At 62.8% G+C, this 27,834-nt stretch overlaps 9 annotated features.

Annotated features, from left to right (window-relative positions):
- Positions 896–1,713: an enhancer, noted in NCBI's record as "H3K4me1 hESC enhancer chr4:1569748-1570565 (GRCh37/hg19 assembly coordinates)". NCBI's record gives its function as "activates a minimal SCP1, AML or CMV promoter by ChIP-STARR-seq in primed H9 embryonic stem cells {active_cell/tissue: H9 hESC(primed)}" and the evidence as "EXISTENCE:reporter gene assay evidence [ECO:0000049][PMID:30033119]".
- Positions 1,714–2,532: an enhancer, noted in NCBI's record as "H3K4me1 hESC enhancer chr4:1568929-1569747 (GRCh37/hg19 assembly coordinates)". NCBI's record gives its function as "activates a minimal SCP1, AML or CMV promoter by ChIP-STARR-seq in primed H9 embryonic stem cells {active_cell/tissue: H9 hESC(primed)}" and the evidence as "EXISTENCE:reporter gene assay evidence [ECO:0000049][PMID:30033119]".
- Positions 2,533–3,350: an enhancer, noted in NCBI's record as "H3K4me1 hESC enhancer chr4:1568111-1568928 (GRCh37/hg19 assembly coordinates)". NCBI's record gives its function as "activates a minimal SCP1, AML or CMV promoter by ChIP-STARR-seq in primed H9 embryonic stem cells {active_cell/tissue: H9 hESC(primed)}" and the evidence as "EXISTENCE:reporter gene assay evidence [ECO:0000049][PMID:30033119]".
- Positions 8,355–8,884: an enhancer, noted in NCBI's record as "H3K27ac-H3K4me1 hESC enhancer chr4:1562577-1563106 (GRCh37/hg19 assembly coordinates)". NCBI's record gives its function as "activates a minimal SCP1, AML or CMV promoter by ChIP-STARR-seq in naive H9 embryonic stem cells {active_cell/tissue: H9 hESC(naive)}" and the evidence as "EXISTENCE:reporter gene assay evidence [ECO:0000049][PMID:30033119]".
- Positions 17,724–17,894: a silencer, noted in NCBI's record as "fragment chr4:1553567-1553737 (GRCh37/hg19 assembly coordinates)". NCBI's record gives its function as "represses an EF-1alpha promoter that drives an FKBP-Casp9 reporter gene in an ReSE screen in K562 erythroleukemia cells {active_cell/tissue: K562}" and the evidence as "EXISTENCE:reporter gene assay evidence [ECO:0000049][PMID:32094911]".
- Positions 19,990–20,846: an enhancer, noted in NCBI's record as "H3K4me1 hESC enhancer chr4:1550615-1551471 (GRCh37/hg19 assembly coordinates)". NCBI's record gives its function as "activates a minimal SCP1, AML or CMV promoter by ChIP-STARR-seq in naive H9 embryonic stem cells {active_cell/tissue: H9 hESC(naive)}" and the evidence as "EXISTENCE:reporter gene assay evidence [ECO:0000049][PMID:30033119]".
- Positions 20,611–20,730: a silencer, noted in NCBI's record as "silent region_15131". NCBI's record gives its function as "represses an Ori minimal core promoter by ATAC-STARR-seq in GM12878 lymphoblastoid cells {active_cell/tissue: GM12878}" and the evidence as "EXISTENCE:reporter gene assay evidence [ECO:0000049][PMID:35858748]".
- Positions 24,415–25,156: an enhancer, noted in NCBI's record as "H3K4me1 hESC enhancer chr4:1546305-1547046 (GRCh37/hg19 assembly coordinates)". NCBI's record gives its function as "activates a minimal SCP1, AML or CMV promoter by ChIP-STARR-seq in primed H9 embryonic stem cells {active_cell/tissue: H9 hESC(primed)}" and the evidence as "EXISTENCE:reporter gene assay evidence [ECO:0000049][PMID:30033119]".
- Positions 25,157–25,900: an enhancer, noted in NCBI's record as "H3K4me1 hESC enhancer chr4:1545561-1546304 (GRCh37/hg19 assembly coordinates)". NCBI's record gives its function as "activates a minimal SCP1, AML or CMV promoter by ChIP-STARR-seq in primed H9 embryonic stem cells {active_cell/tissue: H9 hESC(primed)}" and the evidence as "EXISTENCE:reporter gene assay evidence [ECO:0000049][PMID:30033119]".

Below are 27,834 nucleotides of genomic sequence, written 5' to 3'. Positions count from 1 at the left end.
CCATGGTTTCGGCTCCACAAAGGGCTCCCACCTCGGTATTCTGCTGCCCCACCCTTCCTCCCCCACAGGCAAGGACAGGGCAAGAGGGGTCACCCTGCACAGGCGGAGTGCTCAGTGCTGCCGTCTGGCCCTGCCGCTGGTTCTGGCCTTGCTCTCCTTGCACAACAGGCCCAGCCTCTCTTCATGGGCCTTCTCTTGCCTTTGCCCACACACCCCTGGGATCCAGGGTCGTCTGAGCCAAAAGGCCTTCGAGGTCATCCAAGGTCATCCAGGTCGTCCTGGACCACGGCACCCCAAACTCCCCTGAGCTCCCCAGAGGGCTGCCCAGCCTCTCAGAAGCACAGAGAGCAGCCTGCTGCAGCCCACTCCACATCCTGCAGACTCAGAGCCAGAGGCCGGAGAGACCAGGCGGGCTGTGGGGAGCTGGGCCCTGCCCGGTGCCCTGCAGGCTCCCCAGGACATACTGCCCTTGGCTGCCTACAGACCCACGGCCACACAGGAGCCCCAGGACCAACCAGCTCAGCCTACCAGAGACCTCGAAGCCGGGACAGCAGCTTGCCGGGCCTGTGCCGGGAGGGTCTGCCCGGGACTGCCGTCCATGTTCCGGCTGCGTGCTGCGGCCCACAGCCCCCATGGGGCTCCTGGGAAAGCCTGCCCCGGTGGCTCCACGGCTCTCCCAGCCTCTGGAGGACCCGAGGGCCTGGCGTTTCTCATGCCCCTCAGAGCTGGGTGCGCCGTGGGCGTTGTCAGGCAGCTGGAAAATTGAAGGGCTCGCGGGGCGCCCTGGGAAGTGCGTGGCCGCTCCCTTCTCTTTCGTCCATTTCCCCTCAAACAACTTCCCGGGAAATGGACGCGGATGCTTCTGACAGTGGATGATGGATGGTGCCGCAGAGCCTGCCCAGGAGAGCGCCGCGGGGCTGCGGGTCGGAGGCGGCGCGGGTGGGAGGCGGCGCGGGTGGAGTGGGGTGGGAGGTGGCGCGGGTGGGGTGGGGTGGGAGGCGGTGCGGGTGGGGTGGGTGGGAGGCGGCGCGGGTGGGGTGGGTGGGAGGCGGCGCGGGTGGGGTGGGGTGGGCGGGCCGCCCCAGGCTGTCTGTGGGCTGCATGGGAGAGGGTGGAGTTGGGATGGGGGCGCTGCTGGAGGAAGGACCCGCAGAATGAACTGTGCAGTCGTGGGGAGTGGGCCCTCCGGACACTCGCTGTGGGGACATCCCTGGCTGGCTTGGACCCTGCCCCATTCTCCAGCTGAGACCCAGCCCGCCCATCACCTCGCCGGGCCTCGGCTTCCTCATCTGTAAAATGGGCCTGTGCTTGCCCTGCACCGTGGCGGCGTGAGCTCCAGGAGGTGCTGCTGGGCCGGAGCCTGGTGCACAGAAGGGAGCTCCCGCGGGTGGTGTGCTGGTCGCTGGGAGGCCTCAGGGTGTGCGGGCCCGGCCTGCCCCGGCTGGGAGACTTCCACCTTAAGGTGTGAGGAGCCCTCCGTGGCCGAGTTCTCCTCCGCCCCCGCCGCCCTGGTGACAAATACTAATGTCTAAATCAGCAGCCGCAGGCCGCCGCCTGCCGTGTTCTTTGCTGAAATGTCACCTGTTCCTATCTAACGATTTGCATAATGCAAACCTTCTCACTCGTAAAATACAGATTAAGAGGGGAAGCCGGAGTCATTCTGGAACCAGGGAGCCATTTCAAAGGGAACGAGGAGGGAGGCCTGGGAGGCGCCGTGCTCTTAACCCCGTCCCTGCCGGCCCTGCCTGCACCTCCACAGCCGGTCTGGCCTAACACACTGGGGCCGAGCTGGGGTCAAGGTTGATCCCATGATGCTGGGCGGGTCCAAGCTGTGGAAGGGCGGGGCGTGCTGCCCAGCCCTTCCCCTGGTCGCACGTGTGGACGGCTGTGTCCCCCATCCCCTTGCACCTTCCACCCATGTGTGGAGGGGAGGCTGGAGGGGCCGGGGGCCCTGGGCTGGGGCTGCTCCTGGTAGGTCCTTGGGGGCCTTTCGGGCTGTCCTGGCCCCAGGTGTTTTAACGATGTGGCCTCAGGCCGAGGAGGGACCCCGAGCCCAAGTCATGATTAGGGGTTTCTCCAGCCCCCCAAATCTGGCTGGGTGTGTGGTCTCAGCAAAGGGGGAGCAGGTGCTGAGGAGAGAGGAGATCCCAGGACTCTGCTGGGCACAGGGGGCGTGGCCAGGGCCACCCCTTCAGCCTGGGTTGTGGGGCCATGGCCAGCTTCTGGGCCGGAGGAGGGGGCAGAGGTCCTGAAAGTCCCTGGTGGGGGATGGCGGGGGACAGGGCTGCTGCAGGGGGTGGGAGGGGAGCTCAGAGGATGGGGCCTCTCTTCCGGCAGGAGGCGAGGCTGCTCCCCGCCCTGCGCAGCGAGGAGTGGGTGGGCCTCACGCAGCCCCAGGTCCTTCATGCTGCAAAGCCAGCACCCGCCCGCCGGTCCTGGACCTTGCCCCCTCCCTCTCTCCCTCCACTGGTCTGCCCTCCACCAGTACCGGGTACCACCAGCCCTGCTCCTCCAGCTGCCCTGGGAGGGTCTGGGCTCTGGCAGGGTGCTGGGGAAAGGGCTGCACACATCTGCAGATCTGAGCCCGCAGGGTGGGATGCTGTGAAGCCTGGGACTGCAGCGGAGTGAAGGTAGAGCCTGAGCGGCACCAAGGACAGGGAGGCCCCGATGACTCAAGGGTCAGGAGGAGAGGCGAGAGAGCCGAGGCTGCAGCTGATGTGGAAGGGCAGTGGGTGCCTGACCTGACGGGGGTGGGGGGACCCCCTGGCCCAGCCCCTGCTCCAGGAGGGTCACAAGGGAGGGGCTGACTTACAGGCCTTCCCTGTGGAGAAGAAGAGAGACCTGGGGCTGGACCTCCCCAGGAGCCCCCCTCTGTGACTCCACCCAAAGGGAGCCCCGCTCACCTGGAGCTACACCCAACCTGTGACTCCCGCCAAAGCCACACCCACCTGAAGCCACACCCACCCGGAGCCACACCCACCCAGAACCACACCCACCTGTGACTCAACCCATATTCCCGCTCACCTGGAGCTACACCCAACCTGTGACTCCCGCCAAAGCCACACCCACCTGAAGCCACACCCACCCGGAGCCACACCCACCCAGAACCACACCCACCTGTGACTCAACCCATATTCCCGCTCACCTGGAGCTACACCCAACCTGTGACTCCCGCCAAAGCCACACCCACCCGAGCCCCACCCACCTGGAACCACACCCACCTGTGACTCCAGCCATATTCCCGCCCACCTGGAGCCCCGCCCCACCCAGAGCCCAGTCCACCGGGAATGCTGTTGGTGGGAGCCTTGCCCCTCTGCCTGCCCTGCAGCTTTCCTCTGATCATGGTCCTGGGGAGTCTGGATTTACCAGCTCCCAGCATTCATCTACACCTTCCCTCACCTCTCCCGGGAGAGTGGACGCCTGGGAGCCTCCCCTGGTGCTCCTGGGCACCGTGGCATTCTCATCTCCGCATCGGCAGCACTGCGTCTTTAGCGGTGGCTCTGCGGGGCCCGCTTGGTGCCGCCTCCATGTCAGCTCAGGAAGCGCTGGCAGCCCTGTGGTTGGTGCCACCCTTTTCTTGGCGGGCTCCAGCACAGACAGCATCTGTGTCTGATGCCCACGAGACACAAACACAGACTACCCCTGGGATCCGCCGAGCCTCCCCCTCTGCAGGTGGGGCGCCCGCCTCCCCGCCGGGGACGAAGGGGGTCATTGCCTCCCCCTCTGCAGGTGGGGCTCCTGCCTCCCTGCCAGGGACGAAGGGGGTCATTGTCCTGGATCTGAGGTCCTTCTCAGTGCCGTGGGACCTCACACTGTCCCCTACCTGCCTCTACCGCAGTCCCCAGGGACGGATGGAGGAGGCTGGCGTGCACACACATGACCTAGCGTTCTGGCTTCTCTGTACTTGGAGAGCCCAGTTCTGCCCCTCTGCTGGATGCTCTCTACCGGCAGCAGGCGAGCTGTCTGTCCCCATGGGGCACCTGCGGGGCCACACCCTCGCTCTGCCTGGGCCTGTGGACATCCTGAAGCTGGTTTCAGCAGTCTCACTGGACACCAAGAACGACATTCCTAAACCTGGGTTTAGGAGTGTCTAGCCATGGGGTCATTAGGTTGAGCCACAGCCAACCTGCCTGCACAGGTTTGATTTATGGCCAAGAGACTGAGAGGGCCCCCTGCAGGGTCTTCACCCCACAAGGCCAGGGCCAGGCCTGAGAACCCAGGATCCCACCCACATAGAGGCCTCTGTCCCCTCCAGGGGCAACCTCACCTGTGTGGGTGTGTCCCCACCTGGAGGAGATGCTAAACCTTGCTAAACCTTGGAGCAAGTCTCAGGCCCCAAATTACTCCCCCTACCCCCATTTCTGGCCCAGCTGAGCAATGACCCAGTGCCTGGCTCTGAGCTGATGGTTCTGAGAGACCCCTGAGGAGCAGGGGTGTTGAGTGGCTTTCATGTCGGGAGCTGCTGTCACTGACCGCCCTGACCTCTTTCGAGGCTGACGGGGCCACGGGGTTTTCCAGTCTGAGCTTGCAGGGGAGTGGCCTCGGGGGTAGACAGAGGTGAGGACGAGGGAAAGGCTGTGAGCAGTCGGGTGGGGCAGGGCCCCTCACTGCTCATCCATCATTCACCCGCCTTGCCAGAGGGGCCCAGCCTTGGCAAGGTCAGGGTCCTGCCTACCGAGAGCAGACGTTCTGGGGACTCCGACCTGCACCCAGGCAGCTGCCGAGAGTCCCCCAACATGGAGGCCCAAAGAACAGCCAAGGATGACCCCACGTGGGACCCAGGGAGCAAGGCCAGGGTCCCCAGGACTAGGAGGCCTTGGACAGGGCTTGGCCCCACAGCTGGGGAGGATGATGCTGGCTCAACTCCCAGAGGGACGCCAGCTGAGGGAGGTTGTTGAGCTGGGCTGCGGAGGGGTCTGCGTCGGCAAGCAGGCCTGGCATGCTGGGGAGCTGAGGGGCAAGGGGAGCGCCTTTGAGGGCCCCCAGCCCAGCCAGCTGCATCTGCAGCCTCCCCCATCCTGCCCCTCACTCTGGCCTCTTAGACCACCGACCCCACAAGGCCCCCTCCTCAGCCATCAGCAAAGACAGGCTGGCTGGTCCTGCTCCTTCTTTAAGCACCTTCCCCTGACCTGCACCCCCTGCCCTCCTCCCTGGCACCCCAGCCCACCCCCTTCCCTTGGAGGGGCAGCCTCCACGGCCCTCCCGGACCCACACCGAGGGGGCTTCTGTCTGGTCACCATGGGGACCTTATTAAACCTCGGGGGCAAGTCTCAGGCCCCAAATTACGCCCCCACCCGCAACGTTATCTGGCCTAGCTGACGTCTCCTTCCTCCTGCAGACACCGCACAGCTCCCATAGCTCTGCCTCTCCATCAGCCGTCTTCTCACAGCCTCTTCCTGGTCCCCTCCCTGCTCCTCTTGTGTCATTCCCACACACACCTGTCCCGCCGCCCGCTCCGCCTTCTCAGGGTTGCTGCCTGAGGCCACATAGCCTCTGGGGTCCTGCCCCTCCCCTGCTCAGATCCCCACTGGCAACCCTGTGCTCCAGAAGCCTGCTGACCCTCAGGTGTGCGCCTGTTCCCCCTCAACCATTCTGCTTTGTGTCCCTGGGTCCCACAGGCAACCAGTTAGCCTTCCAGCCCTCACTCCAGTGCCAACGGTGGTGCAGGGCACAGGGTGGGTGCCCTTAAGCCTAGTGCAGTGACCAGGGGCACCCCAGGGCTGGGGCCGCCGGGACCATCCTCCCTGGGGCTAAGTCACCCCAAGTTCTGGGCCTGGATGTGCTAGGTGCTGGGGAGAGTGGGGGCAGAGGGTGCCACACAGGTCACTCCTGCCTCCACCGTAGGGGCTGGGGGTGCAGCCCTGAGGGTGGCCGGGAGGCGGAGATGGGGAAGGGCCAGGCCTCCAGCTGCTGATAAAGCTTCATTAATGGCCTCTCGCTAATGAGAAAGCCGAGCTGATTATGACAAATCGAAGGGGGCAGGGGCTAAGTGGAGACACCAGAGACACCCTGGGGCAGGGGTGGGGGTGGAAGGGTGGGCAGGGTGGAAGGGAGAGGTGGTTCCCAGGCTCCTTGCTCCTCCAGTGCCCCCACCCTGGCCCTTCACCTGCCCAAATCACCACCCACCTCCCCACGCCAGCTCTCCAAAGTGCATGGGGCCTGGGCAGCAACGGGTGGGGTCCCTAGGGGTGACTGAGTGAACTGTTTCAGGCTTTTCTGGGCAGGACAGGAGGAAGGGCGGTCCTCGGCTTGAGGCTGGGATGGGGGTGCATGGCTTGGATGGAGACTCGGGGGCCTCTAGGGCTGCAGGGAGGACGGGCCAGGCAGGTGAGGAGTTGCCCAGAGACCCCGGGCCCAGCCATGGGGTTGTTGAGGACACCTTGAACCACCCTAGCAGAGACAGCCAGGCCAAGGCTGGGGCAGGGACCATGTGGGCAACACTCACCCCGTGGGGAGCTGGCCCCGTGGTCTCTGGCTTGGGCAGGGAGGCACAAGCTCTGTGCCTCAGTTTCCCAAGAGTACCCCAGGTAAGAGGCCCATTTCCTCCTCTCCTTCAGTCCAGGAGGTGTCTGGCTTAGGAGACACACAGTCCTGGGTCTGCAGCTCTGGTGCCCCTTGTCCCTCTCCAGGTCCTTGTCCCTGTATCCAGGACCTCAGGTGCGGGGTCTGCTTTTTCTGGGAAGCACCCCTAGCTGGGGCAGAGGCAGCTGTCTGAGCTTCCCTTTGCCCATCCGTCCGCCTGTTTCGAGCCTCATTGCGCACCAGACTGTCCCAAGAGCTGGGCGCAGCGGGCAGAGCAGATCCTGCTTTCAACATCCTGGCCTCGGCCCTGCCCACCCACACGGGCCACCCTCCTTCTGCTCGGCCCTCCCCCCAGCAGCCCCTTCCAGACCACTGCCTGTTAGACCTGCGGACCCACACTGCCGTGTCCAGCAGCAGCCCTGGATGCCCTGACACCTCCCTTCCCAAAGCCCATCCCCAGTCAGCTTCTGGAACCTTCTCTCCAGGTTCCCTTCCTGACCACTGGGGTCCTGCCAGCTCTGCCTGCCCATGGGTGCTCTCGCCCGGCCCACGCCAGCCCTGGGCTGGACAGCAGGCGGGAGCCGCAGGATTTGAGGCACCACAGTCCCCAGGCAGCTGGCCTCCTACCATGCTGGGGTGTTATTTAGAGGGTTTGGGGCGAGACGAGAACAGCCTAATGGGGCTGACCATGTGGAAGGACGTCTTATCTGGGCCCGCGCCGGCCATCCATTACCACTAATGACACCGGCCTCGCGCCTCGGCCGCTCTCGGCCAGGTGGGCCACTCTGTCCTCATTGTCCTCTTCCAGGGATGGCCCCGAGACCTGCGGGAAGGGCCTGGGGTCTCCCTATCGTCCCAGAGCAGCAGCCCCACGTCGCGGGCGCCCCGTGATAGATGAAGCATGGAAATTAGTTCCAGAGTTTAACTGATAACCGCAGAGCCCACGACACTCGGTTATGGCAGCTCTAATTGATGAGCTCATTAAGTCCATTATTAGAGAAATTGATTTCAAATAGGCACTTGGAGTGCGCGGGGAGGCAGGTGGAGAGGGAGCGCGGAAGGCAGGGGAAGTCTCGAAATACATAATGAGGCACGTAATGTTATAGGTTTGTTTAATGAAAAGCCTCAACTGCACGCTCGTGGCCGTGTGTGTTTTAAACACCCATTTTATGTACTAATAAAGCTCCCGGCGCTGGGGTCCCTCCTTGGCCCCAGCCCACTGTGCTCCATGGCTGCCCCTAATTAATTAATTAACCCGGGCAAGGCGATCAATGAGTTAGTGGCGCAGAATCGACACTCCCAGGCCGTGGGTTGTTGGGAGGGGTGAGGGAGGCCGGTGGGGCCGGCGGCGGAAGTGGGTACCTGGGCTTCCCATCCTCTGCCCTCTCGGCCTCACCCTGCCTGGCTCGGCCACCCGAGGCTGAGGCAGACCCTGTCCTGGATGGTGGGGACCTGGGTTGCCATGGAGCTGCTCCACCCGGCCAGGGAGAGGTGGCCCAGACCCTGAGGCCCAGGGTCCCAGAACCAGGGCGGGAGACAGTCACGGTGACCCTGACCTGTCTGCTTCAGCTCCAGGGGTCCCTCCCAGCCATGCTCCACAGGCTACCGACGCCCTCCTCTCGGGGCTACAGGGCTCAGTCTGGGATGGTTGTCAGCATCCCCACCCAGCCTCTGTGCAGCCCCAGACCACATGCACCTAGACAGACACACGTAGACACACACAGGTACTCGGCATCCCACATGCAGACACATGTGGACACACGTGGACACACAGAGATACTGACACAGAAATACACAGAATCCCTTACAGAGACACATGGTCACAGAGACACACGCAGACACTCACAGACACGCTACACACACATGACCAGCCCTTCCTTTCTGCAACGTGCTCCGGTGTGTGTCCAGGGCTCTGTGCTCCCCGGCTCCCAGGCCTGTGGCTGTGCCTGCCCTCTGGGTCCTCTGCTCCGAGGCTTGACACCTGCTCTGTCCGGCCCTGGCCTCTCGAGCCGCCTGTGCTGATGACCACTGGCCACCCTCCTGCCGCCGACTCCCAGGCCGTGAGTCCGGAGGCCCCAACATCTCCACCCGGCTGTCCCAGAGGCTTCTCACACTCAACATGGCTGAATCCTAACGATCCCCGATCACTTGCTGCCCAGAAGTCCCCGTACCTAGTGAGGGGTGCCCAGCCTTCCAGGCCCCGCCATGGGCCCCGCAGCTTCTCCCGGCCCCTTCATCCCATAGAGGTTCCCATGGCTGCACCATGGAAATGCACAGAACCCAATCCCTCCTCATGCTGCCTCTCGGCTGCCCGGGTCCCCTCGGCGTCCACCCCATCGCTGCAGCTCAGCAGCCATTGCGCAGAACAGACCCCTCTGGCCTCCAGCCCGTGGCCACGATGACCCTGGCTGTGCCTCCCACACCAGGTGCTGTGGCGAGGGCCTCCTGCTGTCCCCTGTCTGGAGCCGCTCCCCAGGTGACCGTGCTCCCTTCGCCCAGCCCTTCCCGCCTTGTCCCACCTTCCTCCACGGTGGTCACCTTCACCTGGGGTCCCGCGTGCATCCCGTGGACCGACTGCCACATCCGCACTAGGACGCAGGCTCCACAGGGCATGGTGACATCTGTTTTCTTTTTCCTCCGAGGCAGCCCAAGTCCCCAGAACAGTGTGGGGTGCCGAGGAGCTCCGCCAAGTTCAGGAGAGAACAGATTCGTCTAACTCATTTAGCCGCACAGCAGGGAGTCAGGAAACAGCGACCGCTAACACAACAAGAAATGACGCATTTTGCAGTGGATACGATAATTAAAATGGTGCTGGAGCCATGCACAGCTGAGCTGGGCCCGGTGTGCAGGCAGCTGACGCAGGGCGCTGAAAAACAGAACAAACCTACGAGTCTGTCGGGTGACTCGACAGGGGCCGCGCCTGAAGACCGGGTGACCGAGGCGGTGCGGGAATCCGTGGCCCACGGCAGGAGGCCGCTGCCATGTCCTAAGGCTGCCGGGGTGAAGCTGGAGTTGGGGACGCAGAGTCAGGCCAGGCTTCCTAGAAAAGGAGGATCAAGAAGGAGGCACCTGCCAGCGGGAGCCGAGGTGAAGAAATGCCACCCAAGACAGATGTGGAGGGGTCCAGGCCCCCAATCCCTCTGGGCTGCGGCCAGGGGCTCCCTTGACCGGACCCAACCAGAGGGCAGTGGTCGGAAGCCTGGGAGCAAGGGTGAAGGGTCAGTCCCAGCCCCAGGGCAGAGTGGCCGATGTGGTGGGGTGGAGGTGAGAGGCAAGGCAGACGGCTGGCACAGCCATCGCTGCACGGCGGCCCAGGCCCACATCTGACTTCCATGTGACCGGGCCCCAGGTGGCTGCCTAGGACACTGCAGCTCTCCCCGAGTCCCCACCCAAGACGGAGACCCTGGCTCCAGCCACCCCGCAGGCACCACGCAGGGGTAAATTCCGTGTGACATCACCTGGGCTTTCTGTAACCCATAGCTACGGTGCCAAACACCACAAATATTTAAAAAGTAAGGGTAGGCTGGGCATGGTGGTGCACGCCTGTAATCCCAGCTACTCGGAGGCCGAGGCGGGAGAATCGCTTGAACCTGGGAGGCAGAGGCTGCAGTGAGCTGAGATCGCGCCACTGCACTCCAGCCTGGATGACAGGGGGAGACCCTGTCTCAAAACAAAAAACAAAAAACAACAACAGCAAAAAACCAGTAAGGGTAGGAGAAAGGGTAAAAAGACGTAATTGCATTCATGAGATGGCTGGATTCGTGATGACGACACGGGCACCCCCAGCTCCATTTCTGTGCTGTTCACGAGGCCAGCTGGCGCGGTTGCCTCCCGCCATCTCCCAGGGTTCCCTCGTCCTCCTCAGGTGGCCCGGCTTCCTCCTCCCACGGTGCGGGGAGGTTGTGGCATCTCAGCCTCATGGGATCAGGCCACCACGGAGTCTAGGGTCCAAGTGAACTCCAAGAGGCACCTCCAACTGCAGGAGTAGGAACATTCAGCCCAGACCTGTCCCCCTTGGTGTGACACCCTCAGAATCCACATTCACGCTGCTTCCCCATGTCCCTGCATGGTCTCCTGTCCCTCAGGCTGTGTATTCAGAGAATACAGGACAGTTTCCTTCTGGTCGTGGGGAGGGCAGCCAGCCGGGGGTGCTGGCGTGGGGGTAGCACGGGGGGTGGGTCCCTTCTGATAGGGGAGGGGCAGCTTCTGCTGCCAAGGGAGACTCACGGGGACCCGGGGCTCAGGGGTTTCCAAGCTTCCAGAATTCATCTCAGTTCATCCAGATCCCATCCCCGTCTCAGGACACACCCCCTAGCCCAAGCCCCACTCCGAATAAAAGTGCAGACAGGGCCAAGCACTGGGTTCAGGCTGTCACTGGAAACCCCAGCGTCACGTCTGGAGCCTGACCTTCAGCCACATCTGTCCTAGGGCTGTAAGGAAGGAGAAGTGGGTTTAAGACCGTGGCGGGGCACAGGGAGGTGCCTCCTGGCTTTCTGACTATGGCTTGGCCTTTTTGCCCTGCACTGCCCTGCCCTTCCTTTCCCTTCCCTCCTCTCCCCTCCCCTCCCCTCCCCTCCCCTCCGCTCCCCTCCCTTCTCCTCCCTTCCCTTCCCTTCCCTTTGCTTTCCTTTTTTCTTCTTTCTTTCCTTTTTTTTTTTTTTTTTTTTTGAGACAGGGTCTGGCTATGTTGCCCAGGTCAGTCTTGAACTCCTGGGCTCAAGCAATCCTCCCGCCTCAGCCTCCCAAAGTGCTGGATTGCAGGTGTGAGCCGCCGTGCCTGGCCTGCCTTGGGCTTTTTATGTTAAGGCGTCTGTGCTCATTGTTGTCCACACATGCAAATATGACTGTGAGGAACCTCGTGAGCCAGGCAGGCATCAGCCAGGGAAACAGTTCCTGTAGGCTCGTGGGGCCTCCCCCTCCGCAGTGTGGCTCCGGGCTGTTCTGAGGCCTGGCGGGGATGGTAGGTGATGGGTGGCCCTCCAGAGGGGACTCGGTGCTTCCCAGCCCCTCTGTCCACCTCCCAGACCAGCTGATTCAGGGTCGGACAGACACAGCCGGCCCGGGTCATGCCGAGGAAAGGACAGGAACCACCCTGCCCATCCCACTGCCTCCCAGTGAGGCGTGAGGCTGAGCCCTGGGAGCACCGTTGGGACCTGGAATTTACCTGGCAGTAACCCAGAATCTCGCAGGAGTCCCTGGCATCGGGTCCGACCCTTTGCTCCAGGTCGTTTTTCACCCTCCTTGCTCTAATGGTCAATTCGATTGAAGAAAGGCCCACGAAGTGCGCACATTGCTGAGACATGGCCTCCGTCACCTTCTTTAATTTTCAGGTCTGAAGACACTACTGCCCGTTGCCGCTTCAAGCCCACTGAGGGCCGCCCCCAACCCTGTGTGTGGCTGTGCAGGGGCTGGTTCTTTGCAGTGTCCGTGGCTGTGGCCAGCGTCAGGGTCGAGCCGTGACCAGGGTAAGTTGAGGCTCTGGAGGGGAGTGGGTGGGTCCGGGCGGTGCAGGGGTAAGTTGAGGCTCTGGAGGGGAGTGGGTGGGGCCGGGCAGTGCAGGGGTAAGTTGAGGCTCTGGAGAGGGATGAGGTGGGGCCGGGCAGTGCAGGGGTAAGTTGAGGCTCTGGAGGGGAGTGGGTGGGGCCGGGCGGTGCAGGGGTAAGTTGAGGCTCTGGCGGGGAGTGGGGTGGGGCCGGGCAGCGCAGGGTCCCTGTCATCCATCTGTTCACTGTGTCCTCCACTCCCAGGCCCCGTGTGGAGACAGAGACAGATGGCAGAAAAGCGATTTACAATGTGGCCTGTTCTATTTCCAATTAAACCACAGACATTAGTTAATATGCAGGGCTGGGAATCTCGGGCGGAGATCATGTGCAGATAGCTCTATAAAACTCTGCTAGGAACAAATAATTTTGCACAAATTTGCAAACAGCATGGTTTTTGTAAATAACCGTAATCTTTCTACCAGCGCTGGTGCCGATTATGCGTTTTTCCTCATGATAATTTAATGATGACCTAATTTACCTACTGTTGCTGGGCGTCCGGTGCAGCCGATGGCGTTGTCCAATGTGGTCCCAAATCCATCCTGTTGGCTTTACCTCATATTGACCAAGTGTTTACAAATTGAGCTTTTTCCCCCTCCTTATGCCTGACAGTTAACTCCGCTAATGAGCCCGCTGCTGACGCGGCACCGGCCTGCCGGCCCGGGAGTCTCGGCCGCCTTCGCCTGTCCTGAGCCCATCCTGAGCCCGTACTGAGCACAGCCCCGGCGTCAGCATGGGCTGGCAGGAGGTGTCTGGCCTGGGTGCCGCCCGCCCCGGAGAAGAGGAGGGGGCAAGGTGAGGCCAGGAGAGAGGCAGGGGGTGGGGCCGAGGAGGGAATGAGGAGGGGGCCCGGGAGCTGGTGCAGTGTAGGGAGGCTGCTCAGAGGAAGGCGTGACCTGAGGCTGGGTGGGGCGGGCTGGGGACTCCGGGTGAGGTGCGGTGTGGCCGGGGGAGTCACAGGACGGCCCCCAGGGGAACTTGCTCTGGGGCTGTGGAATGAATACCACGGGCAGGGGTGGAGCTTAAAACAGCAGCATGCTTTCACGGTCTGGAGCCCAGAAGCCACCTGGAATTTACCCGGCACCAACCAGCATCACCAGGGGGTACCTGGTACTTGCCCCATGGCTCCCTCTGAAGGCTTGGAGCTCCCTCCTGCCTCCTCCAGGTCCAGGGGCTGCGTCAACCCTCGGAGTGCCCTGGCTTGGAGCGGCCACTCCAGCCTCTGCCTCTGTTTTCCCCAGCTGCTCCCTGGCACCTCTGTGTTCCTTCTCAGGAGGACACGGTCATTGGTTGGGGACCTGCCCTTATCTGGGAGGGTCTCATTTGCACCTTACCTCAGCCACATCTGCAAAGACCCTTTTTCAGATCACGGTCGGGAGTGCGGGCTTCAGGGATCTGCATGGAGGCTTCCCTCCCCAGGTTCACTGTTCTGTGGACGCGGAGGCTTCCCTCTTCGTGGTCACTGTTCTGTGGACGCGGAGGCTTCTCTCCCCGGGGACACTGTTCTGTGGACATGGAGGCTTCCCTCCTCGTGGTCACTGTTCTGTGGACACGGAGGCTTCCCTCCCTGTGGTCACTGTTCTGTGGACATGGAGGCTTCCCTCCCCGGGGTCACTGTTCTGTGGACGCGGAGGCTTCCCTCTTCGTGGTCACTGTTCTGTGGACGCGGAGGCTTCTCTCCCCGGGGACACTGTTCTGTGGACACGGAGGCTTCCCTCCTCGTGGTCACTGTTCTGTGGACGCGGAGGCTTCCCTCCCCGGGGGCCACTGTTCTGTGGACGCGGAGGCTTCCCTCTTCGTGGTCACTGTTCTGTGGACGCGGAGGCTTCCCTCTTCGTGGTCACTGTTCTGTGGATGCGGAGGCTTCCCTCTTCGTGATCACTGTTCTGTGGACATGGAGGCTTCCCTCCCCGGGGTCCACTGTGTGGACTGCTCGGGTGCCGTAGGCAGTGGCTGCCTCCGCTGCTTAGAGAAGTGGGAAGGACGGTCTGCAGAGAGAGACAGGACCCAGGAGTGAGGCCAAGAGGGAGATAGGCAGAGGCAGAGGCTGCAGGCGAAAGGACAGGGACAGGGAGGCCGGCGTGCAGGAAGTGTCGGGCCAGCCCGGACTGGTCCCCACCAGGAGCACCCTGCCAGGGCTCTGTGGCTCCGAGATTTCTCCCAACAGATTTGCTTCTCTGATCAACGGTGGTCGGAGGCCCAGAAAGAGACATGGGGAGCCTGGCTTGGGAGGTCCCCACCAGCGTCTGGAGGCCTCAGTGTACTCTTCTGTAAAATGGACGAACAAGGACGCCTCTTCCCTGGCGTCTTGGGGAGGGTTAAATGGCGTCATCTCCGTGTGGGACCCGGTGCTGGCCTTTGTCACCATCCCAGGGTCTCAGTCCCTGGGCAGAGAGGCCCCTCCCCCACCAAACTCAGTTTCCAGCGGCGGCTGCTGTGTGACGGTGGGGCCTTTACTTGGTATCCGTGTGCTCGTTTGATATCCGATTCTGTCCTGGAACGCCAGCTCACAGGGCAGGGGCGGCGTGTGCTTCTCCCTCAGCTCGGAGCCCGCAGGCGGTCCACGCTTGTTGACTCTGTGGCAGGTCTAGTTCTGAGCGTCATTGTCACCTGCACACAGCAGGGTGCTTGGATCAGCGCCTGGCCCATGGTTGGCACCTGTGGGCATTGCATTAGCTGCCAGTATTATTCTCTCATTTAATCTTCGCAAGCTCACAAGGGTTTGCTGAGTGGATCAAGGGTCAGAGTGGGGAGTGGGGGTGCTAACTGGACTACCCCAGAACTAGCAGAGCAAGGCTGGGCCGGGGCTGGTGAGGATGGCGGCTGCCTGGGCCATGCCAGGCAGGCTCCATGCCGCAGACCCTATGCTGGGACCCACAGAGTTGTTATTCAGCCGCAGGCATCGGCAAGCGGGGCATAAATAAATGGATGACGGGACGGGCAGGTCGAGGCTGGTGGGGGCCGTGGCTGCACAGGCAGAAGGCGGTCTGGGGGTGGACAGACATGCTCTGGTTGAATAGATGGACGCACGGGTGGCTGGGTTTGGGATTTAGTGGGCAGGTGGGTGCATAGGTGGGTGGGGGAGGAATTGGGCGGGTGGAGACAGTAGTGAGGGGGTGTGTTTGGGAGCCCATGGGTGGGTGGGTGCATGAGCAGGTGGGTTTCTGGGCAGTGGTAGGTGGGCTGGTGCCTGGCGGGGGCCTGGGTACGGCCCGAGGGGCTTGCCCACTGGGCTTCTCCTGGCCTCCCCTGTTGGTGGAAGCCTCAGAGCCGCGGGACCCGGGAGTGGCGCTTTTGTCTGTTGCTTGGAAATAAACAAACCAAAAGAGAGACGCCGGCTGCCCCCTGAGGGCACCTGGAAACCACATACCGAGGTGATGGGGAGACAGACCGGGGGGCTGGTGAGGAGGGGTCCCCGTCAGACAGGTCAGACAGAGGGTGAGGGGTGGTTGCTGGGGTCGGGGCGAGGCAGCCTCATAGGCATTGAGTCCCAATTGCGCATGGGATGTCAGGGGCCTGTGGGGTCTGGGCCAGGGAGAGACCTGGCAGCCGGGGAGGGAGTGGCCTGGCAGCCGGGGAGGGGGTGGGAGCTGGCTCTGAGGGGGGCAACTGAGTGGGCTCCCTGGAGGAGGAGTGCCTGCAGGCCAGGGGGCTGTGGGTCATGGGGGCTCAGGGGAGAGCGATAGCTATGTCTGAACAAAAGGGTGGAGGCGGCACAGACCGGAGATCTCAGAGGAGGCATGGCGTCCCACAGCTGCGGAGGTGCAGGGCTGAGACCCCGGCAGGCCTCGTCGGGCGGCTGCCCATTCTCTCCAGGAGCCCCGTGGTGGGTGCGTCGTCCAGGCCATCCTGCTCAGCTTCGTGGACGTTGCACGCCATGCTTGCACCAGCTGGCGGGGCTGCCCCTCTAGCATTCTTTCCCAGGCATCTGGGCTGGGGGGCGGTGATGTGGAGAAGGCATCATTGAAGATGTTGTCGGGCCTGTGGGTTTCTTCCCTGCATCCCCCGGGCAGGCAGCTCACGCCATCACCCCAAGCCGTGCTGTGGAGGAGAGGAGCCATGGGTGCCTGTGAAGGGGTTGTTATTACACCGCCCTTGAAAACAGTCCCGTTATCAACTCTTCCACTCAATGGTTATGCCAGCAGCATTTATGTGCGCTGGTGACGGGGGCCTCGAGGCTCAGTACCGCCTGGCAGCCCTGGAGCCTCGGACCGGGTGCCCCGTATTCTCCTCGGCTAGATTAGGCCCCAGTGCCATCCTCCAAGCACCGAGGGCTTCCCGGGCCCCTTCCCAGACCCCGCCCCCCAACCTGCTTCCTTTTGCTAAAAAGCTAGATTTTTCTACTATTTGTGCTGCTTTTAATCCATAGGAAGTCAATTTTCCACTCATATATTAGTTTATTTTATATTTTCAAATTGATTCGACTATGCATTGATTTCCTGTTGTGGGCATTGTGTCCTGAGCCGGGATTACGCGTTTCGGAGAAGTGGATACTCGTGGCACATAAAGGTGCTTCTACGCCACAGAGCTCTTATCTTGAAGAGGGAGAGTCCAATTTTATTGAAACAGCTAAAATCCCACTTAATTGAATTTTTTTGCTCTAAGATGTACAAGCTTAGAGACGTTTGCTTTCCAATTCAACTCAGGCTCCGTGGTGTTTAAATTTCCAAACCCATAAAGACCTTTATGAAAAAGACCCTACAAATATTGTATTTCTGAGCGGGCGCGTCGGTGAGCACCCGGGTGGGAGTGGGGAGGCATCCGTGCCCTTGGACAGCCTTTGATCCTGCGGAGGGGCCCCGGGCGCTGGCTCCTGGACGGTGCCTCCCCTGGACCGCTCGCTCCCTTCCTTCGGGCCAGGCAGTTTCCTCTCCCCGCTGTGCTCGGTGGCCTGGGCTCTGCGGCTTCCTTAGTGGCCTTTCTGGGCGTCGCGAGGGTGCTGACCCCACCCTTGCCCCCACCCTTGTAGTGGCCGGGCCAGGTGGCCCTCATTCGTCAGGGACTGGCCCTGGCTGCCCGGTGGCTGAGCTGGGCTTTGACCCTGGCCACTGGCTCCCAGGCCCTCTCCCCTCACCTCCCACTGACTCTCAGGGAGGAGAGAGGAGAGGGGGTGAGCAGGCCGCACTCAGCGCCCAGCTCTCTGGAGCTGCTAGACGAAGCCTCCTGGACAGCAGCCTCTGCCACCGCTCGGCCCAGGCCATGCCCAGGGCAGGGGTGTGGCCAGTGTGTGTGGGGACCTGGGTCTGGGCGGGGTCTTCACTGCACCTGCCCTGGGCCTGGGCTCCAGGCCCACCAGTCACAGCTGGGTGAATGAAGGGGTGCCTGAGAGTTGGGGACCCTCTGTCTTGGGGTGTCTTAGGTGAGTCTGGGACCCTCTGTCTGGGGGTATTTCTCAGGTGAGTCTGGGACCCTCTGTCTGGGGGTGTCTTAGGTGAGTTTGGGACCCTCTGTCTGGGGGTATTTCTTAGGTGAGTCTGGGACCCTCTGTCTGGGGGTATTTCTCAGGTGAGGCTGGGACCCTCTGTCTGGGGGTATTTCTCAGGTGAGTCTGGGACCCTCTGTCTGGGGGTGTCTTAGCTGAGTCTGGGACCCTCTGTCTGGGGGTGTCTCTGAGGTGAGCTTGGGACCCTCTGTCTGGGGGTGTCTTAGGTGAGTCTGGGACCCTCTGTCTGGGGGTGTCTTAGGTGAGTCTGGGACCTTCTGTCTGGGGGTGTCTGTTGGGTTGGCTGAGACCCTCTGTCTGGGGGTGTCTCTGAGGTGAGTTTGGGACCCTCTGTCTGGGGGTGTCTCTGAGGTGAGTTTGGGACCCTCTGTCTGGGGGTGTCTTAGGTGAGTCTGGGACCCTCTGTCTGGGGGTATTTCTCAGGTGAGTCTGGGACCCTCTGTCTGGGGGTGTCTTAGCTGAGTCTGGGACCCTCTGTCTGGGGGTGTCTCTGAGGTGAGCTTGGGACCCTCTGTCTGGGGGTGTCTTAGGTGAGTCTGGGACCCTCTGTCTGGGGGTTCTTAGGTGAGTCTGGGACCTTCTGTCTGGGGGTATCTGTTGGGTTGGCTGGGCCTCCTCTGTCCTCAGGAGGCAACCTTGTCTTGCTCGCTGAGCCTGGCTGCCTCTTGAGTCCTGGAACCCGCTTGGCTGCTCCAGGCACGTGCTGGCCTCATGGGCACCAACCCACATGCAGGGACACAGGCTCCTGTGTGCTCTGCTCAGATGCAGCTCCACCTCCTGCCAGGTGCCACATGTGCCCCCCATGGAGTCATGCCCTGCTGCCCAGGCCCCACCTGACCACATCCAGCCTCCGTCAAGGCCTGGTCCCCATCCCTGGAAAGGCCAGACACTGGGCCGTGACACCCCCTTCCCACCTCCCACCTGCCCACCGGACTCTTTACTGAGTCTGCCCTGGCCTGGGGCCTGAGCACCTGTGGGCTGGGCATGGCCAGGTGGAGTGGACCCTGGGGACCCTAAGAAGCTCCTCCCAGCCTTGAGCGTCCACCCCAGCCATGCCCCTGGGGCTCCTAAATCCCCATGGCCCTTAGACACACTGAGGGGGAATGGTGGGTCCAAGGACAGCTCCTTCCCCCTGGAGACGGGGTGGGGTCTAGGCCTGCTTCACCTCTGGTCCCCTACCCCAGCCTCAGTTTCCCTCTAGCGCCAGGGGCTGGGGCTACACCTCACTCCTGTGGCCGCTGGATTGGTGGTCTGAATGCCAAGCTGGGGCAGACGGGAGCTTGGCCTGACTCCAGGCCCTGCACTGGCCATGGCGCCGTGAGTGGGTGGCCCCCTCAACTGTTGGGGGGGTGGCCCTGCCTCTGGGGACACCAGCCCCCTCTCCCCAGCCTGTACTATCATCTGTTCTTCACGGTTCCTCTGTCTTCCCACCACCTTTGGCCGGGTTCGGAGCCCTCCTGGTGTGCTGGGCCCCGGGGCTGTCCTGCCCAGGCAGTGAGTGTCATTTAGGGGGGCAGGCTGGGGTGGGCAGTGGTGCTGGGTGCCGAAGAAGGCCTGTCTCTCTAGGTGAGGCCTCTCTCTAGGAGTGCTGGGCCGGGTGCAGGGCCAGCAACTCAGGCGTGCACAGCCCTGACCGTTATCCGATGCCTCTTCACACACAGTTGCACAGACGACAGTTTAATGGCGCTTTGTAATGGGAGCTCCTCTGTATCTCTATCCCATGAAAATGGCTAACGGTGATAAGGGAAGGAAGAAATGAAGAGTCTGCAAGGCCCCTGCCCACCTGCTCCTGAGAACACGCTCGCCACCTGCGGGCATCGCCTTTGCTCCCTGTAGCCTCCAGGAGATCTCTGACCCACCAGGGGCAGGGGAGGGCATTGGTGGGGGGCTGGGGGCATACAAGGGGAGGCCGGGGCTGGGCCCAGGGGTGGCCGCCGGCCCCTTCTTCTGTTTCTGGGGTGGGAGGGCTTTGGCAGGGCCCTTTTGGGGTGTGTGGCCCGACCCAGCCTGGGTGGTGCAGCCCTGAGGGCCCGGGCAGTGCAGGGAGAGCCCAGGTCTGCAGCCCTTGAGCAGCAGGTTTCATCATTCATTCATCCATTTAGTGGCTGTTTCCTGAAAAACCTCTGGGACTGCGCCCCAAACCTCCCGAGTCTTAGAGAGTCATGCAGCCGGAGAGTGGCTGCTCCTAGGGCGGGAGTTCAGGGGAGGTGCAGTCAGCTCAGAGTCACCACTGGGCAGTGCAGTCTGGGGAGACTTCCTGGAGGAGGTGGCATTGTCACCGTGCCCCGAAGCATTTGAGCCCCTGGACTCGGGACCCCTCGCTGCCCAGGGGCATTGCCGGCCATCACTCTTCTCCCCGACAGTTTGTGCTGTCCCAGAAGAGCACAGCTGCTGAAATGTGCTCCCCATCTCCCCTGACAAGCTCCACCATCTTGCCCCATCCTCCCCTGCCAGCCCCTCGGGGGCGTGTGGGACAGGACACCCAAGTCCCGCTCCTTCTTGCCCTCAGCATCCCCTCTCAGCTTGTGCACACTAGAGGCTGGATCTGGAGGATGGGGCAGAGAGGCCTCCGGGTCCTGTTGTGGGGACGGCTGGCACCGGCCTTCGGCCTTCAGTGGGTGGTCCCACTGAAGCACGGCCTTCTCTGGCCCCATGCCTGACTGTGAATGGGTGAGGCTCTGAGGACCACAGAGACCTGTCCCTCAGGCCCTGCCCATCCCTCCTGCCTGGGGCTCTGGGGCTGGGTCAGTGAGAGCAGATCAGGCAGTATCTGGGGAGTCCCAGCTCTGCCCTCAACTTGCCCTGAGGTGACAAAGCCTCGACTGAAGGCGAGTGGGACCCACTGGGTCTGCAGTAGGGAAGGTCCAGGCCCGACCACACCTGGGGGCTGTCCCGGCTCTGGCCTTGGCCCAGGCCCCCCCCACCACCCCGACCAAGCTGGCCTTCCTGCCTGCACCCATCTGGGTCTTCTGTGCCCCTGAGCTGGGGCAGTGCCCCCGCCAGCATCCCAAGAACAGGAACGGGCCGCAGAGGACCAGATGTGACTGCACAGGGGCCTGGACGCCAGCTTCTTCCCTCCCGCCTGCTTTCTCACCTGGAACCGTGGCCATCTCAGAGGAAACCCGCCTGTCTCGGGATTTTCTCACCCGCAGAGCGGGGAGGGCCCTCTGGGCTGCCTGCAGTGCACCGTGTGTCCAGCAGGGGGCAAGCGCCCGGCCCCGGAGCCGCAGCAGGGTCCGCTTGGGGCCGCACAGGGTCCTCGCCCGACCTGTGTCTGAACACGCAGGAGCGGCCGGGCCAGGCAGTCCCAGCGCATTTTAATAGTGGAATGTAATTCCTGGGCGGCAGAAAAATGAAAGTGAGAAGTCTATGAATTATTGCAAATGCTCTCGATCTGCTGGGCCGTGCAGCGGGGCCCTGGGCTGCAAAGCCTTTTTTTCTCATGTTTAAGTTGGCGTGGAAGATGAAATAGTCACAGAGACGCAGTGGCCCCTCAAAGCTGTTATTGCCAGCTGTGTGTCTCCTGTAAACACTTTTCTGATTTATAACCTCACTCTGCTTTATAAATGGAAAAACCAGAAACGCCTTCAGGAGCAGCCTTTCACCGCCCAAGAGGCCTCTGCGTCCACACGTGGCCGCGGGGGCAGGGTGCCGAGGCTTCTGGTCAGCCTTCCTTCCCAGGGCCAAGGCCTCCACCTAGGCCTGGCGCGAATGTGGGTCCCGGAAGGGTGACCCACGGTGCCTGTTTGCCTGGGACGGACGGGGTTTCCGGAACTCGGGGAATTCGATGCAAACCTGGCAGGTTCCCGGCAAGCTGCTTCCCTGGACTCTGGCGGTTCTTCTTTTGGTCGACAGATGCTGTGGACGGGTTTTCTGTTTGTTTTGGAAGGAGAGGGGGTACTCAGACATCCGGCGATTGTCTTTGCTGGCCTGTGTCCGAGAGGGGAAGCTGATGCCTGTGGCTGGAGGACCTCGTGTCGTACCTAGAGTCCCCTCAGGACGGCCGACTGCCAGCCATGGGCCACCCGGGAGCTCACCCCACAGCCCCACCTCGGTGCCCACACCTGGGCCAGGTGGCCATGGGGTCCCCAAGCCTCGTGCAGATGAGGGAAGGGACTCGCTGCAGCCTCCATGCTGGCGTCTGGCCTCAGAAAGAGGGCTCAGGAAACGTTGGCCACTGACTCCTGATATCACAGTAACCCAGGGCGGCTGGGATGCTGTCCTGCTCAATGGGGAACTGAGTCACTTGTCCCAAGTCCTGCAGTGACCCAGAACCGTGCAGGTCCAACCCGGAGCAGCAGAGCCCTTGGAGCAGGCGGTGTGGATGGCAGCCCCATCACAGCCAGGATGCGGGGTCAGCTGGGGTGTGGGTTGTCAGTCTCCTGGAGTTGTCTGGGGTGTGGGTTGTCAGCATACTGGGGTTGCCTAGGGTTATTTGGGGAGTGGGTTGTCAGTGTCCCGGGGTTGTCTGGGATTGTCTGGGGTGTGGGTTGTCAGTGTCCCAGGGTTATTTCGGGTGTGGGTGTGGGTTTTCAGTGCCTCGGGGTTGTCTAGGGTGTGGACTGTCGATGTCCCGGGGTCGTCTGGGGTGTGGGATGTGGGTTGTGGCCTGGGGTTACCTGGGGCGATGCCTCCCCTCTCCGGGGCAGGTCTTCGTAACATCAGGAATTTGCAGGCACATGTGTCTGGGTGTTGGGAAGCAAACAGTCTGTGCTGGATTTGCTGTGTGGATTCTTGAATTATCTGGAGAATACAAGCTTCTTGATGAAAAGTGTGATTTTGTGTTATGAACCGGAGAGTCATGGGCTATCAGGCCGGGGGCTGGGTAATGTCCTGAATGGCAGGCGCTGTCGTTTCCAGGAAAGACGATGGTGTGAACGTGCCATTCACCCTTTAGAGCCCGAGGCTCAGGGCCCACACTGAGGCCCTGCACTGCTTCTAAGTCTGCCCAGGATCAAGAGCCCTTGGGCAGGGGGTGTGGGTCCCTGGAGACAAGTTTATCAGTAAAGCAGGAGACCTTGACCGCCAGCTGAGAGCCTGGGGCGGGTCTGGCTGTCCAGCTGAGAGCCTGGGGCAGGGGTCCGGCTGTCCTGCTGAGAGCCTGGGGCAGGGGGTCCGGCTGTCCTGCTGAGAGCCTGGGGCAAGGGGTCCGGCTGTCCTGCTGAGTACCTGGGGCAGGGGTCCGGCTGTCCTGCTGAGAGCCTGGGGCAAGGGGTCCGGCTGTCCTGCTGAGTACCTGGGGTAGGGGTCCGGCTGTCCTGCTGAGTACCTGGGGCAGGGGTCCGGCTGTCCTGCTGAGAGCCTGGGGCAAGGGGTCCGGCTGTCCTGCTGAGAGCCTGGGGCAGGGGTCCGGCTGTCCTGCTGAGAGCCTGGGGCAGGGGTCCGGCTGTCCTGCTGAGAGCCTGGGGCAGGGGTCCGGCTGTCCTGCTGAGAGCCTGGGGCAGGGGTCCGGCTGTCCTGCTGAGAGCCTGGGGCAGGGGTCCGGCTGTCCTGCTGAGAGCCTGGGGCAGGGGTCCGGCTGTCCTGCTGAGTACCTGGGGCAGGGGTCCGGCTGTCCTGCTGAGAGCCTGGGGCAGGGGTCCGGCTGTCCTGCTGAGAGCCTGGGGCAGGGGTCCGGCTGTCCTGCTGAGAGCCTGGGGCAGGGGTCCGGCTGTCCTGCTGAGTACCTGGGGCAGGGGTCCGGCTGTCCTGCTGAGAGCCTGGGGCAGGGGGTCCGGCTGTCCAGCTGAGAGCCTGGGGCAGGGGTCCGGCTGTCCTGCTGAGAGCCTGGGGCAGGGGTCTGGCTGTCCTGCTGAGAGCCTGGGGCAGGGGTCCGGCTGTCCTGCTGAGTACCTGGGGCAGGGGTCCGGCTGTCCTGCTGAGAGCCTGGGGCAAGGGGTCCGGCTGTCCTGCTGAGTACCTGGGGTAGGGGTCCGGCTGTCCTGCTGAGTACCTGGGGCAGGGGTCCGGCTGTCCTGCTGAGAGCCTGGGGCAAGGGGTCCGGCTGTCCTGCTGAGAGCCTGGGGCAGGGGTCCGGCTGTCCTGCTGAGAGCCTGGGGCAGGGGTCCGGCTGTCCTGCTGAGAGCCTGGGGCAGGGGTCCGGCTGTCCTGCTGAGAGCCTGGGGCAGGGGTCCGGCTGTCCTGCTGAGAGCCTGGGGCAGGGGTCCGGCTGTCCTGCTGAGAGCCTGGGGCAGGGGTCCGGCTGTCCTGCTGAGTACCTGGGGCAGGGGTCCGGCTGTCCTGCTGAGAGCCTGGGGCAGGGGTCCGGCTGTCCTGCTGAGAGCCTGGGGCAGGGGTCCGGCTGTCCTGCTGAGAGCCTGGGGCAGGGGTCCGGCTGTCCTGCTGAGTACCTGGGGCAGGGGTCCGGCTGTCCTGCTGAGAGCCTGGGGCAGGGGTCCGGCTGTCCTGCTGAGAGCCTGGGGCGGGTCTGGCTGTCCTGCTGAGTACCTGGGGCAGGGGTCCGGCTGTCCTGCTGAGAGCCTGGGGCAGGGGTCCGGCTGTCCTGCTGAGAGCCTGGGGCAGGGGTCCGGCTGTCCTGCTGAGAGCCTGGGGCAGGGGTCCGGCTGTCCTGCTGAGAGCCTGGGGCAGGGGTCCGGCTGTCCTGCTGAGTACCTGGGGCAGGGGTCCGGCTGTCCTGCTGAGAGCCTGGGGCAGGGGTCCGGCTGTCCTGCTGAGAGCCTGGGGCAGGGGTCCGGCTGTCCTGCTGAGAGCCTGGGGCAGGGGTCCGGCTGTCCTGCTGAGAGCCTGGGGCAGGGGTCCGGCTGTCCTGCTGAGAGCCTGGGGCAGGGGTCCGGCTGTCCTGCTGAGAGCCTGGGGCAGGGGTCCGGCTGTCCTGCTGAGAGCCTGGGGCAGGGGTCCGGCTGTCCTGCTGAGAGCCTGGGGCAGGGGTCCGGCTGTCCTGCTGAGAGCCTGGGGCAGGGGTCCGGCTGTCCTGCTGAGAGCCTGGGGCAGGGGTCCGGCTGTCCTGCTGCACTGAACCCACTGTTAATCGCCACTCCCCACACGGCCGCTAATGACTCCCTCAGTAGGGCCTGCGGTGGGGATGTTTACTGAACAGGAAGTAAAATTGTAATCTCCCGTTCAAACAGAATATTCACACAACAATAAAATTATAGGTGTGGCCTCAGGGAACCATTCCTAGGACTTGGTGCTTCAGTGAAGAAGCAGTTCCCGCTGGGAGCGGAGCAGCATGGGCTCTGTGTGGGCCGAGAGTGGGATCAGTGTCAGCTGCCAGCGCTGTACCAGCGATGCCACGGCCACCAGCTGTGCAGGGGCCCACGGCGGCAGCGGGCACCCATGAGAACCATCCGCAGGGGGAGTCATCAGGGCCACGCAGCCCCAGGGCGGGGGGCGACAAGGCAGGAGAGTGCCCCCAGCACCTACCACCCTGCCCAGGCTGTCCCCTTTCCAGGCAGAAATGAAAACAGGTCATATTCTCATACTGCTGGGCCTAGCACATGCGAGATCTGCCTAGACACGGTGAGTTTGCAAAGTACCAGAGACTGGAGACCGTCACCACAGCAACATACACCTCGCAGTTCTGGAGGCTGGAGGTCTAGGATCCGGTTGCATGGCCGGCTCCTCCGAGGCTGCGAGGCAGGACCGGTCCCATCCTCTCCCCAGCTCCCCGTGGCGGCCAGCAGCCCTCGGTGATCCTTGGCCTGAGAAAGCACCGCCCTGACCTCGGCCTTCATCTTCGCACGGCCTCTCCCTGCGTGCCTGTCTCCAGATCCCCTTTCCATAAGGGCGCCTCGTGCTGGGGTGAGGCCCGGCCTCCTGACCGCCCCTTAACCTGATTTTCTCTGTAAAGACTCTGTCTCCAAACAAGTCACATTCTGAGGTGCTGGGGGCTGGGATGTCAACACCTTCCTGAGCTGCACACATTGACCTAGGACAAATGGCATTTTCAAATTAAAAAAAACTTTAATTTTGAGTAAATTTTACAAAAAACTTTTAAATATACTATGGAGAGTTCCCGTAGCTCCCTCACCTCCCGCAGGACAGCACTGCACCGAAGCAGGGTCCGCTGATGGGCCTGGGGTCAGCGCCATCCACAGAATGGGAGTTGCCGGGGCTCCCACTGAGGTCCTACTCCGGGACCCCAGGCTGCGTCGAGGGGTCACCTTTGTGGGACCCCAGCCTGGATGGGTCCTCAGGCTTCCCTTGTCCTTCATTATCCTGGCCAGTCTGCAGGGAGCTGGCCGGGAGTTGGTGGAATGCTCCTTCCTGATTGGGGTGGGCATACTGACGCCAGTGTGCTGTGCTCACACCCTCGTCCTCGCCTGTCCAGGCATCCATGCTGTTGGCAGCTCTAACGTGCCAGTGGTGGCTGCTGGACACCCTGGCTGTGGGTGTCTCAGGCCCCGAGTTCTGGCCTCAGTAGCAGGAAGGACAGTGGGTGGGTGCGGGGTGTCCATGGTGGGGGCCACAGTGCCGCCAGCTTTGCTCAGTGGGAATGTGGGGCCCACAGAGGGACCCAGGTTGCCTGTGGACTTTTCCTCCTGCTGCCCCTTGAGACACAGCAGTGCCTGCCTCAGCTCTTCTTGGGGGAAGTGGGGCGGGGCACCTGCTTCTCAACATGTCAGTGACTGCCTGGCCAAGCGGGCAAGCAGGGCTGGGAGGTCTCACTGCGTGCCCTGCCCACAGGAGTTTCTGGAGAGACTCGCTCTGTTTCTAGGGGCAGACTTGGGCTGGCAGAGGCGACCCTTGGCAGTGGCAGGAGCAGCCCCTGTCTGGTCAGGGCAGCCCAGACCGGTCCCTCCAGCCCCTGCAAGCACCTATCAGACTCCTTTCTGCAGAAAGAGCCAGAAGGATGCCACCATCTGCAGCTGGCCCTTGGGACCCCAGGTCTCCAGCTGCCCCTCCCACCATCCTGAGTCCTCACACTTCTTCATGCTTGTGATGAGGGCGGTGAGCCCTGAACTCTGTTTAGGGCCAGAGAAGGGGTTGCATCAGTGACCTCAGGCCCGCAGCATCGTTCCTAGTGGCCTGGACACTGGGCGGTCGTCTCAGATGGGAATCCCAGGATGCAGCAGTGTAAGGACAGCAAGCGGGCAGCAGCAGGCCCGGAGGTCCGACCCCATGGCTCACGGGTGCCCTGCCTGCCCACTCCCTGGCTTGTGCACTGGGCCTCGGGGTCCCGAGCCCGGCAGCCGATGAAACCTCCGAGATCCTTGGAGTCTTGGGGCTCACACCCTGGCTCCCCATCTGAGGGGCTCCCTGGGTTGGGGCTGCTGTGATGCGTGCTCAGCGTCTTTTCCTGAATTCCTGCCTCCGCCTCTAAAGCTGCAGGGACAAAAGAGCAAACCAAATCAAGCCCTAAGGCACTCCAGGAGTCCCCCTACCCCCCCGGGCCAAGGCCTACTCTTGTCCTAGCCCGACTGGCCCCCAGGCCTGTGCCCGGTATCTGGCTGAACCCCAGGGCCTGCAGCACCCATCTGACCCCCAGGGTGATGGCCGGTCAGGAAGGCTTGTGGGTCAGGCCTGCTCAGAGCCCAGGATAGATTTCGCAACCCCCACAGAGCTGGGTGGGACAAAAGGTCCATTTTTGTGGCCATTGTTGATGTCTCCTCCTGTGAGTCACAGAGGTGGCCCCACCTGCATCGGTGAGGCGGAGTGAAGGTGCCACTCTGGGAAGCCTGGCTGTCCCTGGGTTCCCCGTGGAAGCCCCACTGCATCGGAGTACAGAGCGTGAAGCCACGTAAAAATCTTTATTATCTTGGCAATTTCCTAAGTCATTGGTTCCCGTGTTTGTAAGATAAACCCACAGCCTTGGAACGTGCTGTGCTGGGGTGACGCTCCTGCTTGGGAGGTTGGAGCGGGGGCTTCCTCGGGTCACCCCAGGGCCCTGGGGGCCACACATCAGACCCTCCAGCTGCTCCAGTAGTGGACAGTCAGGGGCACCACCGAGGCTCTCATCCCTGTTAGAGGTTCTGGCCCTGGCGGGCCCTCGAGATGACTCACGGTGGGACTCTGGGGGGAGTGTGGCTGGACGGAGCTGGTCCCGGGGCTCCTGCCACCAGGCAGCCCCACTCAGCCATAGCCGGGGTGTCTGCACGGTTCCCAAAGGGCCCTGAGAAGAAAGGAAGATGGTGCCCGACTGCCTGTTCATGCAGCCCACTCACAACGTCCAGGCAGGGGAGGCGAACAGCACCCCTGCCCAGAGGAATGAGTAAGAAGGCGGAGCGTCCACACCAGGAAAAATGGGGAGTGTCCACACTGGGGAGGATGCGCAGTGTCCACGCCAGGGGAGGGTGCAGAGTGTCCATGCCGGGAAGAATGCGGAGTGTCCACACCAGGAAAAATGGGGAGCGTCCACGCCGGGGGAGGGTGCGGAGCATCCACGCCGGG

The sequence above is a fragment of the Homo sapiens genome, chromosome 4 (genome assembly GCF_000001405.40).
Source record: "Homo sapiens chromosome 4, GRCh38.p14 Primary Assembly".
Taxonomy (NCBI): domain Eukaryota; kingdom Metazoa; phylum Chordata; class Mammalia; order Primates; family Hominidae; genus Homo; species Homo sapiens.
The sequence above is the reverse complement of the archived record's forward strand: the minus strand, read 5'-3'. Positions and strand labels throughout refer to the sequence as shown.